Source organism: Homo sapiens, chromosome 15 (assembly GCF_000001405.40).
Source record: "Homo sapiens chromosome 15, GRCh38.p14 Primary Assembly".
Classification (NCBI taxonomy): domain Eukaryota; kingdom Metazoa; phylum Chordata; class Mammalia; order Primates; family Hominidae; genus Homo; species Homo sapiens.
In genome coordinates this window covers 85,532,421-85,547,850 of record NC_000015.10, presented here as the reverse complement: position 1 = coordinate 85,547,850, position 15,430 = coordinate 85,532,421, and the positions used below count along the sequence as shown (strand labels likewise).

The window sequence follows — 15,430 nt, the reverse complement described above, 5'->3', positions numbered from 1 at the left end:
TCTTCTGGGGCTAAGATTTCTCAGGCAAGACAGAAAATTAAAGAAAGGGAAATAAGAGATAACATATATGTCAATCACTGAGTTATGCTCCCTACATGAATTCTTTCATTTACTTAGAGTGAAACTTAAATACAATGTATTTAAGATGAATTTTCAGATCACAAATGCATTCATATTCATAATGTAAGATCTAAATATAAGCTAAAGTGAAACAGCAAGTCAACAAAAGCTCTGCCTTCCCTAACACTGAACAAAGTGAAAGTTAACAATCATGGGTTACAAAAAAGGGAAACTGTAAAAAAAATGTCCTGAGTAGTTATTACTATCTGGTAGGATTTAAAATAAAGTTCAAGTGTTTTCTAAAGGGATAGGTCTTAGAGAATCCTTATATGTCCAAGAATGGCTAATCATAATTTTCGCAGAAGTAAGACTTGCTTTATCAAAATAGACTGGCAATCAAAATAAGCCTTGAACAAAGAAACACAAAAAGAACTTGGGCCCTAACCAGCACAAGGCTCCCCACACCCCACTTAAAAATTAAAAAGCAAAAAACAAGGTAAAGCACCAAGGAATTAAAACAACAAATGTACTTGGGAAGGGCTATAAATGGGGTTAAATAAGCTTGACTTTTCAGTAAAGTGTAGAATGCAACTAGTTATTCAATAAATGTAAAATATACATAGCCATACTTCAATTTCATACTAACTGAAAAGAGGCAATAAAAGAGGCCGGCTTATATGTGGACAATTTCATTTTTAAAAAGCAGGGTGGGGAAGAAGATACCCAAACTATTAGAAAGATAGCATCATGGCTGGGCGCGGTGGCTCACGCCTGTAATCCCAGCACTTTGGGAGGCCGAGGTGGGTGGATCACGAGGTCAGAAGTTCGAGACCAGCCTGACCAACATGGTGAAACCCCGTCTCTACTAAAAATACAAAAATTAGCCGGACATGGTGGCGCATGCCTGTAATCCCAGCTACTCAGGAGGCTGAGGCAGAAGAATTGCTTGAGCCTGGGAGGCAGAGGCTGCAGTGAGACAAGATCGTGCCACTGCACTCCAGCCTGGGCTACAGAGCAAGACTCCATCTCAAAGAAAAGAAAAAAAAAAAAAAAAGAAAGATAGCATCATACATTGTGGCGATTCTTAACTTTCTACAAACCCCTTCGTGAATCTCACCAACAAATGCTTTATTCAGAAAAACATGTGCATAAACCTTTATAATTTCAAGAGATACAGACCCCATGAAGTCTATTCTTGGGCCACTTTTTAAGAATCCCAGGAGTGGAAGGAAAGAGCTCTGGACAGCTTTTGGCTTCTATTTCTGGTCATACCACCTTGTTATCTTCATCCAACCACTTTGTCTCTCTGGATCTCAGTTTCATCTGTTAAAGATGATCTTTTCTTTTTAAGGCTGTAGTATTCCGTTATATGAATATACCACATTGTCCATTTATCTGTGATGGACATCTAGGTTGTTTACACTTTTGGCTGTGTGTGTGTGTGTGTGTGTGTGTGTGTGTGTGTGTGTTTGGTAACAACAATTATATAAATTTATTTATGGGGTACAGTGTGATGTTTTAATCTATGTATATACCATAGAAAGATAAAATCAACCTAAGTAACATATCCATCATCTCAGCTACTTATTTTTTTGTGGTGAGAAATACATTCTTTTTTAGCAATTTTGAAGTACGTATTGTTTTTCTGACACGTTACAACATGGGTGAACCTTGAGGACATTAGCTATGTAAAAGACAGACACAGAAAGACAAATGTTGCATGATTTCACTTATATGAGGTACCTAGAATGGGCAAATTCTTAGAGACAGAAAGGAGAACAGAGGTTATCAGGGGCTGGAGAAAAGGAAGTTCAGTTTGGGTGATGACAAAGTTCTGGAAATAATAGTGGTGATGGTTACGTAACTCTGTGAGTGTTGTGATGGTACTGAATGCTACTGAATGCTGTCCCTAAAATTTACTATTTTAACCATTTTTACGTTATGTATATAGGAAAAGAAAGGGGAAGGAAAGGAGAAAAGAAAACCAATAACAAAATGATCATTCTTGATTCTTTAACAACTGAAATTCTACCAAATTCTACTAGAATCACTCTCACACTGAGTGATTTGGGACAATCGCCCCCTTTCCATTTTTTAATCGCTAATTATGACTCAGAACTTTTTCTAAGCTTCACAACAGTAACATCCCAGAATTCAAGTTAAGAGCTAGATCTGCAGCAAGGTGCTCATCCTCTCCTATCAGGGTCCTCTATTGGTGATTTCTCAGGTTGGTTTTCCCTTACCAATCTCCCTTCAAAAGGAGGTAAGTGGCTTTCCCACATGTAACAGAAGTAGTACTTTTAAAGTAAGCAAAAAAAAGTCAAAGAACAAACACACTCTAGTTTCCTTAAAGCTGTGCTGCAATAACAGTCTTGTGACATCCCCTCCAAGGATATAATGAAGCTGTTGTAATCACTTTATTTCCCCATTTGGATGGCAGTCCTTAACCAACTCTGCTTCCCAGCAAAAATCAAATTTAGAGGAAATGCATTTGAACTTCACAATAGTTATGCAGAGTTAACTGTTTCAACTTCTGAAACAAGGCCTCTCTTCCTGAGGCCATGAGGCTAACCGTAGAATGAATCCAATCATTGGCCAGATGGGAAGTGTGAAGGAGTAGAATGTATCACTCCCTGGAATACTGTCTTAGGAGAGCTCAGGTATCCAAAGCTCATTTGAGATAAGTGCCCCTCCTACCACCACTGTATCTGTAGCACCCATCAGAAAGCTTTCTGCAAAGAACTGTCTGTCTAGCGTGATGGGGAAAGGTATAAGCCTGGCAAGTGAATCAAGAAAAAGCTGTTTACATAACCGTAAGTAGCACTACATTCTGAGGTCTCTTTTTGGTCCTTCCAGACTATATACACAGTTAAAAATGGTAAAACATAAAGCACAACTAAATTAAATCTGGCATGAGCAAAATATCTGAGAATTTGCTAATACTGACTCAATTTGCACAGGTCCCTCAATTGCTAAAGAACATAGATCCAATGGGTTTATACTTGTTCAGATAATGTGGTGGAAAAGATAATGATGATAACCACAAAACTAATAAAAATGTATTAAACAACAGAAACTATTCTTGAAACTTCTTTATATAAACATTCCAATAAAAACTTTTGGCTGCTCTAGTGTGTTTATTTCTTTATTTATACAAGAATAAAAGAGCGCTCTTCAAATGTTTTGACTAACAACCTTCCTCTAGAGAACTCTTTAAAGAGTCAGGACATATAATAATTGAGCCCAAAAACAGACAGGATTTCCTACTGCACATTTCCAGGACAATTCAGTTGCTTTTTATTGCTGTTCATATGAAGAAACCACTGCTCTCAAATTTTATTCACAGAAATTACATTCAATCCAAAACTTAATTGTTTACAATATTTTCTGTATGCAATTATAATATGGAAGTACTGGTTTCTAATTAACTCTTTCAAGTCTTAAAGACATACCAGAAAAAAATATATGATATAGGAAATCTGTTTCCTCTTGTACTAAACCAGGATAAACTGTATACATTGGTAATGTTATGCTACCTCCACAGACAAGGCTCATTCTGACTTTTGAGTAAAATAGTAAAATATAAGAGATAAGAATTGAAGAAGGCAGGCAGGCAGACGAGAGAGAAAATGGTTAACACGACTTACGTTTCTCTCTCAGACAATGAAGTGGTTAGCAGGAGCAAGCTTACAAACCTCCAGCAGAAGGCAAGATACAGAGCTGAGGTTTTAATTTGCGGCAAACACACAATGAGATGCCAAGTGGGTGGTACTCCTATGAATCGGGGGTGGGGCTGGGGATGAGAGGAGGGAAATAAGGCAGAAGGAGCACTTACTCGGTTAGAAGCTGGTGCAGCTTGTGATAGCCTCGCTCCAAGGCCAAGCTCACAGGCGTCGCCCCTTCCTGGTTGTGGATACTGAGAGCTCCGCGGCCACCTGGCTTCTGCAACAGGAACCACGTCAACCTCAGCAGTCCCAGCCGCACAGCAAAATGCATCAATGTCTCTCGCGGGCCAGCATCTGTAAATGGGGGAGAAAATGAACGTAAGTGAGGAAAATATAAAAACAAAAAACAAACAAACATAAAGACAAGTTATGTAAACACCACTGCCTCCAAGTGCCTAAGATTGTAAAGTTAAGCTACAACATACAGTGTGAACAGCTTTATTGTGGCCAGGTAGAATCAGCCCTCAAGTAAAGGCAAAACAAAGCTACAAAAGCATAGAAAGTATAGGAAGCAAAATCTTCAATCGAACACAGTCCTGCAAAAGAGAATCAGGACATTTCTATATTCTGACTTAATACACAGTGTTTGTTCAACCAATTTCACAGGCAGGCATATAAAGGCGACCCATACACACGTTCTTTTACTCAAATAATAATAACAGAAGCAAATGCAGCCCCACAACATGAGGTCCAAGAGGGAATAGCTGTTGGGACTTAAATGGGTGTATCATAAATGGTATAATTACTTTTTAAAAGAACACCCAGACAGGAGTTGGCTAGTTAAACACTAAAAACAGGTTCTGCTTGTTCAGTACACATGGGTCTTTTTATTCCTACACAATAAGGGCAAATCAAATTTCTGGCACTGCCAGCTTTATTTATTTGTTTAATGAGAGGAAGAAATGCATCTCCTGGCACAATAAGGAAGACTAACTCTAAGACAATCCACTAATAACTGCAGAAAGGAAAACGTTTATTTAACTTGAAATAAAGGCTCCCTCTTAGTAAAGTGAGTCACTCTGAAAGTGACAGAATGAGGAAGGGCTTGTAGTTAGACAAATCAGGGTTCGAATCTGGCATTTACCATCTGTGTGACCAAGCGTGATTCATGTAACATCTCTGAACTTCACTTTCTTCATCCCTAAAGTGAGATACCAACACCTCACTCACAGAGGTGTAACAAATGAGAAGAGGTAGATGAAATGCTAGTATTATGACTGGCTGTAGTAGACATTCATTAAATCCCAGTTCCTCTCTGTTTCCCGGCTCTCTTCACTGTCCTCTTGGACATCAAATTACATTCAAGGTTCACTAGCAATACTCTCTTCCTTCAGCAGTCCTCAGTGCCCAACCTAGGATGACAGGAGCTGAGGTCTTTGCAGGGATGCCACATATAGCCCCACAAGGCTGTACTACACTTAACTCCAGGGAGCTGGGAATGGCACCCTGAAGTTGTGCCTGCCTCAGCTTAGCTATCATCTCTTTCTTCATGGCCTCCCACGGGTCTAAACTTCTTCACTAAGCACTCGGACTTTTTGGACCCCAGTGGTTTTCTCCTTACTGTGAAGTCCTCAAATGCTTCTATACGTGAATATCACAAAGGAATGAACAGATTTTTGAAGCTGTGATTTTACACTGAATTACACTGTTTCCAAATGTCATCTGTGTATTAGTCTGGTATCCCTATTTCCAAGGTAAATTTCCTTGGAAGCACAATTTTTCATATTGTATATTTTCCCTACAGAACTGTATATGCATAGACCAATTCAGGATTTAAAGGGTGTTTAACCAGAGGCACATGGCTGGAAAGATTATGCCCCAGAAGCAACAACTACATGTGCAGGTACAAATTTTAATAATCAACACCTCTGCGCAGATGGCAAGGCCAGACAAAAGGACAAATAGAATCCTCACAAAAGATCAAATAGCACCATCTAACTTTTGCCTTACAGTTGTTCTGACATCCTTATCAAGAACAAAGAGCTAATGAGGCACTAACTAGGAAATACCTGATTCTTTAGAGGCTAGTTATTTCCAACCTTGAAGCAGCTGTCTCTTTACCACCCTCCCACAACCACTCTTCTGATTTGTTATTTGTTCTGAGTCAGCTCAGCATTTCAGTAGAAATCCCAATACTACAGCCACACGCCTGCTCAGAAGCTGATGCCCTGACTTCTGCACTACATCCTCTCTCAATTTCTGAAAGTCTTAGCAACTGGTACCACATCTGCTTTTGTGTAGACCCTTTCTGAGGATAACAGATTAGGAGAAAACAATGTAGTGCTATGCACCATGCACTGGGCTAGGCAGTTTATGTCAACTTTTTCCATTCTATCTTCTCAGTAACCCTATGAGGTCTGGTTATCTTCATTGTGCAAATGAAGGCAGATTCATAGAATTAATAGCTTGCCCACAGTCAGATCAGGATTTAAAATCAAAAGTTCTTCTGTCTTGCATTAAACAAACAAACAAACAAAAAACCTTTTCCATTACTCCACCCTGTTTCTTTTTGCTAGGAAATAAAACCACAAATACAAAAACAAGCAATCATACAAGCAAGCTAAACTAATGTGGTTTAAAAAGCACCTTTTTATGTTTTCTTCCAACATTTTATTAACTTTTCCAACATACACATAGTTCAAAGAATCACACAGCAAATAGCCAGACACTCACTCAACAACCTAGATCCTACAATTAATGTTTTTCTATATTTGCCTTATCACATATATATCCAACGATTCTTCCTTCTATTTCCCCATCGATCCACCTTATTTTTATGCATTTCAAAATAACTTGAAGATATCAGTCCACTTCACCCCAAAATACTTCAGCATGCATATAATTAACTAGCATTCAATATGTAGTTACAATTTTAGGTGATTTATATACAATGAAATACATATGGTATAGTATACCCATTTGATAAATTTTGACAAATGCATATACACGTGAACCCAAATCTGTACCAACATATAGAAAATTACCAATATCCAAAAAAGTTCTTTTGTGCCACTTTCCAGTTAATCCTCTCCTCCTCATTCAGAGTTAACCATTGTTCTGAATTTTTCACCTACATTAGTTTTGCCTGTTCTACAACTCCATATAGATGAAATTATAGAATATACACTCTTGTGTAAGGCTTCTTCGATGAGCATGTTTGAGATTCATCTACATTGCTGCATGTAGCAGTAGTACATTCTCTTTTACTGCTGAGTAGTCCACCGCATGCATATACCCCCAGTTTTAGGTATTCTCCCATTAATTTCTCACACATTTTTATTTGATTCAGGGGTCATGTGAATTAGGTTTGTAGAAGAGGCCAAGGTGCAAAGGGATAAACGAATATATGAATTTAGTTTCCTTTAGTCTGTGTTGTTTTAAGAGCATGAAAGCTTCCATCACTGCTTTCTTCCTTTTGTGTTTAAACTGCAGAGCTCAATCATTTAGGATCAATCTCTGTTCCCTTTTCTCTGCATCAGTACTCCTCTGTAATCTGAGTTACTCAACTTCATTTTTTTAGATCACTAATGGCCTTTCCTACAGTGTCAACTGAGTCCTTTGTCCCCAGTGTGAATTAACTGTGCTTTAGGATTGTGGATGGCTGCATCATTTTTGCCAACTCACTCCCCTTCCATCCTTGTCGTCATAATAATAGCTTTGCCGCAGATGTAATTAAAGCCCCTAACCAGTTGATCTAATAAGGGAGGTTATCCTGGATTATGTGGGCAGGATAATCCCACTGCATCAACTGGAAGGCTCTGAAAGCAGGTCTTAGATTTCCCCTGGAGAGAAGGGATTCCATTCCACCTGTGGAGGACAGCACTAGCCTGTGCCTGTGGAGCTCCATCCTGCCCACGATCTTCCCTTCCTCACGTGATATTTTGGCCCATGTTGGTGGACTGACTTTTGCCCATGATCTTCCCTCCCCCTCCTGCCCTACAAATTTTGGACTTATTAGCCCTCACAATCAAAGGCGCCATTCCTTGTAATAAATCTCAACATATTATTTCTCTTAGTGGTTCTGCTTCTCTACTTGAACACTGACTCATAAAACCTACTTTTCTCCTTGCTGTCTCCTTCTCTAATTTCATAATAAACCTGATTTTATTGAGCTCTTTAAAGGGCAAATGGGAAATATCATCTACATTTTTTTGTTTCTTACAGAAAGCATACTCAGAAAATCTTCCATCTGAATACTTATGATACTTTTCCCTTTTCTTTATGCTGTAATGTTATTCCATAGACCCCATGTTGGCTGGTTATCCTGTTTAACCATACTTAATTGGAAAGATCTCTGTAGGCTTAGCCTCTACCCACAGAGAAGGAAGGCAGAAAATGTCTCACATCCTGCTTTCTATTTACTTATATGCTGGACACACCTGTCACACACCTTCCCTCAGATCTGCAAAAAAGTTGATGTGCCTAGTAGGCATTCAAGCATGATGAGCCTGCTAGAGGGTTGTATCTTTTATAAATGGTCAGATTCTCTAAGTAAAATGTTCTAAGTTCTGAGATCAGTACAATAATCAAGGACTACTCTCCTACCCCATCAATCCCCCCAGCAAGCCCAGCTTACAGTACTCTTTGAATCTATACCTATGATTCCAAAATCACCATTCTTTGTACTATTCTGGACTACCTCTTAAAAAACCTAAAGTCCCACATGATGCAGGAATTCTCAGCTGCATGTGAAAGGAAGGAGAACAGGCCACTGTGAGAAAATGCAGTTGTGGAAAAATGAGACCTGTAACCTTGTAACAAAAACAAGGTTTCAGAGGCAACAAAACCTTTTGGAGCTCAAGTCCTACCACTACTAGTCTTGGGATCAATAAATATTAATCTTCTGCCAAGGGGAAAAAAAAACCACTAGCAGTTTTAAAATATGTTGTTATTTTCTTTTCAGCAGTGATGACAGCTGAAAAAATACACAAACACAGGCCAGGCACAGTGGCTCATGCCTGTAACCCAGCACTTTGGGAGGCCGAGGCGGGAGGATCATGAGATCAGGAGATCGAGACCATCCTGGCTAACATGGTGAAACCCCGTCTCTACCAAAAAATACAAAAAATTAGCCTGGCGTGGTGGCGGGCACCTGTAGTCCCAGCTACTCAAGAGGCTGAGGCAGGAGAATGGTGTGAACCTGGGAGGCAGAGCTTGCAGTGAGCTGAGATCGCACCACTGCACTCTAGCCTGGGGGACAGAGCAAGACTCCCTCAAAAAAAAAAAATACACAAACACTAATGTAGCTACGAAAAAATATTTATGAAAAGCTATCAAGGCCGGGCGCGGTGGCTCAAGCCTGTAATCCCAGCACTTTGGGAGGCCGAGGCGGGAGGATCACGAGGTCAGGAGATCGAGACCATCCTGGCTAACACAGTGAAACCCCGTCTCTACTAAAAATATAAAAAATTAGCTGGGCGTGGTGGCGGGCGTCTGTAGTCCCGGCTACTCGGGAGGCTGAGGCAGGAGAATGGCATGAACCTGGGAGGCGGAGCTTGCAGTGAGCTGAGATCACACCACTGCACTCCAGCCTGGGCGACAGAGCGAGACTCCGTCTCAAAAAAAAAAAAAAAAAGAAAGAAAAGCTATCAAACACTCTGAAAGGAGGTGGGAACTGAATCATCAAATGATTATGGTGGGCGACCTATTAACCAATATCAGATGTATAGAATTGGGAATACACAGGCTGTTCTTACTGCAGTTTTTCCTAAACCTGTCTTCCACCTCTCCACCCAAATTTCTCTTTGAGGGGAGAATTCTTGCCCCCAAAGATGATCAGATCTCTTTTTCACTTGGTTATACAATATCATGAGTAAATAAGAATGAAGATTCCCCCAGGATGTTTCTCCCTGCTTCCTCTAGAGCAAGTCTGCAGTGGGCCCACCCTACATTACCTGGGAGTTATGCTGACGGCTACTGCACAAGGGTCTCTCAGGGAAAACACCCCCCTAGCTTACCATTTTCACTAACCACCGAGCTGAGAAACTAAGTGAGACTTGGAAAACTCAGAGAAAAAAATGTCCTTACCCCACCATTCACGCCACACCCAGATGAATCCTTATCACCTGCATTTAAGGCAGAACTGTGGCAAACAGTACAATGTGTAGAAGCTTGTTTATATAATTAGGGATGAGAGAACATTTGGAAGATTTAAAAGGACAAACTCCCTCCTGTTCATATTTAAAGTGAAGATTAATTTTTGTAACAAGTAAAACATCAATGTTTTGTGTCTCCAAATGGTACATTCAAAATGAATAGCTTATAAACTAGCACACATTATCAGAATACACTTTCCCCCATTTCACAGATGAGGAAATTAAGTAACAGAGAGATTGAGTATTTTGCACAAACTCTTGCAATGAAGCCAGGATGCAAACAAACTGACTCCAATGCCCCTGCTTTTCCCACTTTGTAAGAGCAAAGTTAAACCCAGAATTCTTAACTTTATGCTCATGCCTGAAGTTCAGGGAGACTTAAGAAATTTATCATATGTAAATGTGTGCACATAGGCACCTATAAACATTTTTTTCTGAGGAGAAATCTGAGCAATTTCCAAAGGAGTCACTGACCTGAAGAAAGCTAAAAAGCACTGCAACTAAACAATTAAAACAGTAGGAGGATTAGCCATAAATCTTACATAAACTACTTTGTCTAAGTATTAGGCTAGAATATCTCTAAACATCCTAGCTTTCAACAGCAAGAAGTCCTGTTATGTAACAAGGTGCCTTATTTACCTGTATTACCTCAGGCATCATGGTTACTTTGTACCTTTCTCCTTTAAATACCTATTTAAAAGTATTTATGTGCAACTCATTGATGTGAACAGACTATTCCATTACATTTGTCCCTCAACAGCAGGCGTGATGAACTCTTAACTGATGCTTCTCTCCCTTACTGTACCCAGTGTTCCCAGATTCTAATCATCAATTAATAGAACAATTTAAACTGCAGAATGTGAACTGAGCACAGAAAATCAGATTCCTCATCCCAGTTGTTGACTTAAAGACACTTCTATCAAGTCACTTGCATGCATTTCACCTTGCAAAGTATACAACTTACACAATTTCTTTTGTTATTTTATTATTTTAAATATATGTACAATAAAATTCACCTTTAGGGGATGTACACTCCTATGAGTTTTAACACATGCATAGATTCTTACAGCCACCACCACGAACAAGACAAAACAACTCCAACAACCCAAAGAATTCCCTCATGATACCTCTTTCCAGTCAGACTTCCCCCACTCCCAGCCCCTAGCAACTACTCATCTGTTCTCTTTTTCTATAATTTTGCATCTTCCAGAATATCATATAAATAGAATCACATAGTATGGAACCTTTGGAAACTGACTTCATTTTCCCGCATAATGCATTTAAAACACATCCAAGTTGTTGCACATGTCAACAGTTTGCTTCTTTTTATTGCTGAGTAGTATTCCACTGTATGGATATATTATAGTTTGCTTCTGTATTCACTCAGTGAGGGAAATCTGGGTTATTTCCAGTTTTTGAAGATTATGAATAACATTACTATGAGCACGTCCGTGCACAGACTTTTTGGTGACTACAGATTTTCATTTCTCTAGGATAAACACCCAAAAGTGGGATTACTGGGTCATACGCTAAGTGTATGTTTAACTTTACAAGAAACTGCCAAATATTTCTAGAGTGGTTATACATTTTGCATTCCTACAAGCAACATATGATATGTTCTTCATCTTTGCCAGCACTTGGTATTCTTCATCTTAGCCATTATGATAAATGTGTAATGATATCTCATTGTGGTTTTAATATGTATTTCCTTCCTCAAGTGTTCAAATTTGGTTTGGCCTTTGTTAGCACTGCTTGAGCAATTTTGTGCAACAGAAAATTTACCAGTACACTGACAGTACAAAAAAAAATTAAAGCTGGCCAATTCCCTCCTATTAAAGACAAGGAAGTTAAGGCCCAAAGAGAGGAAGTGGCCGGGCACAGTGGCTCACGCCTGTAATCCTAGCACTTTGGGAGGCTGAGGCGGGTGGATTGCCTGAGCTCAGGAGTTCAAGACCAGCCTGGGCAACATGGTGAAACCCCGTCTCTACTAAAACACACAAAAAAGCAGCAGGGTGTGGTGGCATGTGCCTGTATTCCCAGCTACTTGGGAGGCTAAGGCAGGAGAATCGCTTCAACCCAGGAGATGGAGGTTGCAGTGAGCCGAGATTGCACCATTGCACTCCAGCCTGGGCGACAGAGCAAGACTCTATCTCAAAAAAAAAAAAAAAAAAGAGAGAGAAAGAGGAAGTGATATGTCCAAAGTTTCAGATGTTTGCTTTTTCTAATAGTTGTTTTTAATCATGGCAACATAAAACTATCCAACTCCTGGGCCCCTCTTTAAACAAGACAAAACAAAACCATAAAACACCATAAGCCCCACAAATAACTAATGCAGTACTATCTTGACACTGATTTGTGAAAGGCAGCCAGAATAAACATTCCTGTATCAATACAGAAATAGGAGGAGCTAGAGGTATTAAGGCCCATCACCAGGTTTATATAAGGCATGAGTGCCTTTTCAGAATGTCAAATATTCTGATCTCTAAATATTAGCAAGACAGAAGTTTCTTGGACACTATACTTAAAAAAAGAAGAAGAAAAGGATAAATCCTTTCTTCCTTGATTTGATACTTCCTTTCAGGTTTTACCTGGGCAGGACTATCCAGGTAGAATCTGACAGTATGCACCTGACAGTATGGGACACCGTTCTGACGGCTGACCACAGGTTTAACTGTTAAATTTAGTGTAGATTTAAGAGAATCAAAGCTGGCAAAGACCTCTTTACCATTCTTCCATGGAAGAAGACAAAATTCATCTGAGTGTAGAAACTAACTATGCTATGGCTCAGGCCCCTCTGGGTATTTCTCCTCAGGAACTGCTCACCTGTGGGGAGAGTGACTTGTGGTCTGCTTACCCAAAATAATTCAATACTCAAGGCTGGGTGGACTCTACAGGGCAATGGTGTGACTGACCAGCTCTTTCATTGAAGACATAGAAAGTACAAGCAGACCCTTCTGGCAGGAGCTCTAACATCAGGCTTCCAATCTAGATTTCATCAGTAATAAACATTTTGGTTTCTATCTCAGGACTCCCAAATCGTTCAATTGGACTTGAACTCAGAAGGGAAACTGGATGTTACTTATTGAACTCCAGGTACACATTATGTTTCATTAAAAAATATCTATACAATTATGACATCAAGTAGATGTCATTGGCTACTAGAATTATGTGGGAAAACCCTTGTTTGAGTAAGAGGACTTACTATGTAAATATTTTTGAAAAAGTGGAGTTCTGGCCGGGCGCAGTGGCTCATGCCTATAATCCCAGCACTTTGGGAGGCCGAGGTGGGTAGATTACCTGAGGTCAGGAGTTCGAGACCAGCCTGACTAACACGGTGAAACCCTGTCTCTAATTAAAAAAAAAAAAAAATTTGCTAGGCATGGTGGTACATGCCTGTAATCCCAGCTATTTGGGAGGCTGAGGCAGCAGAATCACCTGAACCCAGGAGGTGGAGGCTGCAGTGAGCCGAGATCATGCCACTGCACTCCAGCCTGGACTACAAGAGTGAAAGCCCGTTCTCAAAAAAAAACAAAAAACAAACAAAAAGTCCTTTCTTCAGTGAACTCTCATAGGGAGGGCCAACAGATAAAGTCAGTAAGAGTGACACTAACCTGGTTAAGGAAGTGTGTGGTTTCTCAGAGCACACCCTGTTCTCATGCTCCTCCCACTCACTGCCCAATCTTTCCTCTCCTTCACTTCCAGGCTATCTTTAGAGAACTTCAGAATACAATAATGAAAACCATGTCTTTGATCATTAAACACCAAAAAGTAACTCTGCTACTCTCCTCATGAAGAGCATGTCACTTTCTACACTTGAGAGATCAAATCTGAAATCCAGACCCACAGGAAGGTGACGTGCCACTCTCCTTGGGTAATCCCTAGGGTCATTTCGCTGCAACAACATGCTTAACAGCTCAATTGAAGAACCTAGAAGAGATGCCATTGAGGCCACTTTCCTACAGTAATTCTAAGATTTACGCAGCCTCTGTGGAAGACCTGAATATGATGACCATAGAAAAGTAGCCCCATTAAAAAAAAAGTAGAAATATCACAAACTTAAAGTGTGTTTGTAGATCATATAAATTCTCACCATGCAAACTCTGATCTGTCCCCAATACATTCCACTCCGTGGGCAGCTTCAGGTGCCTGAATGCCAGCACCAACTTCTTATCAAGGGAATTCACATCCCCAGATGGGGGTCCTGACTGGTCAAGAAAACGGGTAAAGTTCAAAGCCTGCTGATTTCCAGCACTGGTTGCTAGGAATTGAGCTGCATCATACGCTTCATCCTGGACGAAATGAAAGTCTTCTTCAGCCACCACAAACACGGGAAGGCCCTCTTTGGAAGCACAGAGCTGCACCTTCACTGTTTCACAACAATCATGACCTAAAGGAAACACAGGCAGCAAATAAAACAGTATTAGAGCCTCACTGCTGAAAGGACGCTAGTGGATCCTCTTAGCTCTTATTTCACGACATACAAATTTCTCCTCCTAAAAAACACCCCCTCCTTCCTCTTGAGCTCTGACAGCATTTTTCCAAACTTCTTAAAACTCCATTTTCAGCTTTTAACATTATTTGCAAATATGAATTCCCTTAACAAAAAACAAAAAACTTTGTATCCCAGCTTTCACCATGCCTATAACATGGTATCTGGAACCGAACAGGCTCTGAATGTCAACAAGGGCTATTCAATTTGAACATATTTAAGAATGAAAGCTGAAGGACCTTCAAGGCATAGCATATGATGGAAAGTCCAATAGCTACTGAACTAAATTAGATCTGAAAACATAACAGGAAAAAATATCACTCATACAAGTTATATAGCAAGAATTTTACAGATTCACTAGCACTTGCTTTATTATCACGATACAAAGGCTCACATGATGAAGCACTTGGAAAAGTACATAATTACTTGATTTTATTTTACTACTATGAGCAATCCAAGGCCTAAAAAATAAGTAATGATTTTTGTTCTCAGATACACATTATTTCCCATCTCAACCACTAATGTAATGAGGACTTCAATGAAATTACCTGGTTTGCATGAGGATAATGCAATGCTGTGGCTGGGAGCCCAGTTCAGGAAACGCAAACATGCCAAGGACTCCATGGTGCCCAGTGTACAGACTGGCAGGCACCTCAGGAGTGATGATTGGAGGCAGAAAACTGCATGCCACTCCAAAGAGTTCGGCTGCAGACAGGTCAGCAAGATTTAACACCACGTGTCTATGGGTAAGACCTTCTTGGACAATTGGGCTTTCTTTTGAAATTTTAGCCTCACAGAATTAAATATTTCCAATATTCAGAATATACTCATCACAATGAACACTATTTCCCCTGTTTTCACACACTGATCTCAAATAGCCAGAACTATGCTCCTATCACCATCCTTCTCCCATTATCTTTCTGATGACAGAAAAGAAAGTAGAGTTAATGTTTTTGTTTGGGTAACGCCACTTTGTGCTCTGCCTGATTAATCATGGGCACCCATGCACGTGCCACTTCCCTGAATCTCTAACACATTCAGACTGCTCTTCTACAGCTAAG

General features: G+C 40.0%; 1 protein-coding gene across 2 annotated transcripts in view, besides 1 other annotated feature; it reads right to left on the bottom strand.

Annotated features, from left to right (window-relative positions):
• The window catches only part of AKAP13 (A-kinase anchoring protein 13), a 368,756-nt gene that overhangs the window by 201,508 nt on the left and 151,818 nt on the right, over positions 1–15,430 (bottom strand). For both annotated transcript variants that reach the window (NM_007200.5, NM_006738.6), the window contains exons 4-5: positions 13,971–14,267; positions 3,896–4,079 (exon numbers count right to left, since the gene is read on the bottom strand). In NM_007200.5, the coding sequence (NP_009131.2) occupies positions 3,896–4,079; positions 13,971–14,267 (481 nt within the window). The remainder of the gene's footprint in view (positions 1–3,895; positions 4,080–13,970; positions 14,268–15,430) is intronic.
• Positions 13,742–13,821: an enhancer, noted in NCBI's record as "active region_10016". NCBI's record gives its function as "activates an Ori minimal core promoter by ATAC-STARR-seq in GM12878 lymphoblastoid cells {active_cell/tissue: GM12878}" and the evidence as "EXISTENCE:reporter gene assay evidence [ECO:0000049][PMID:35858748]".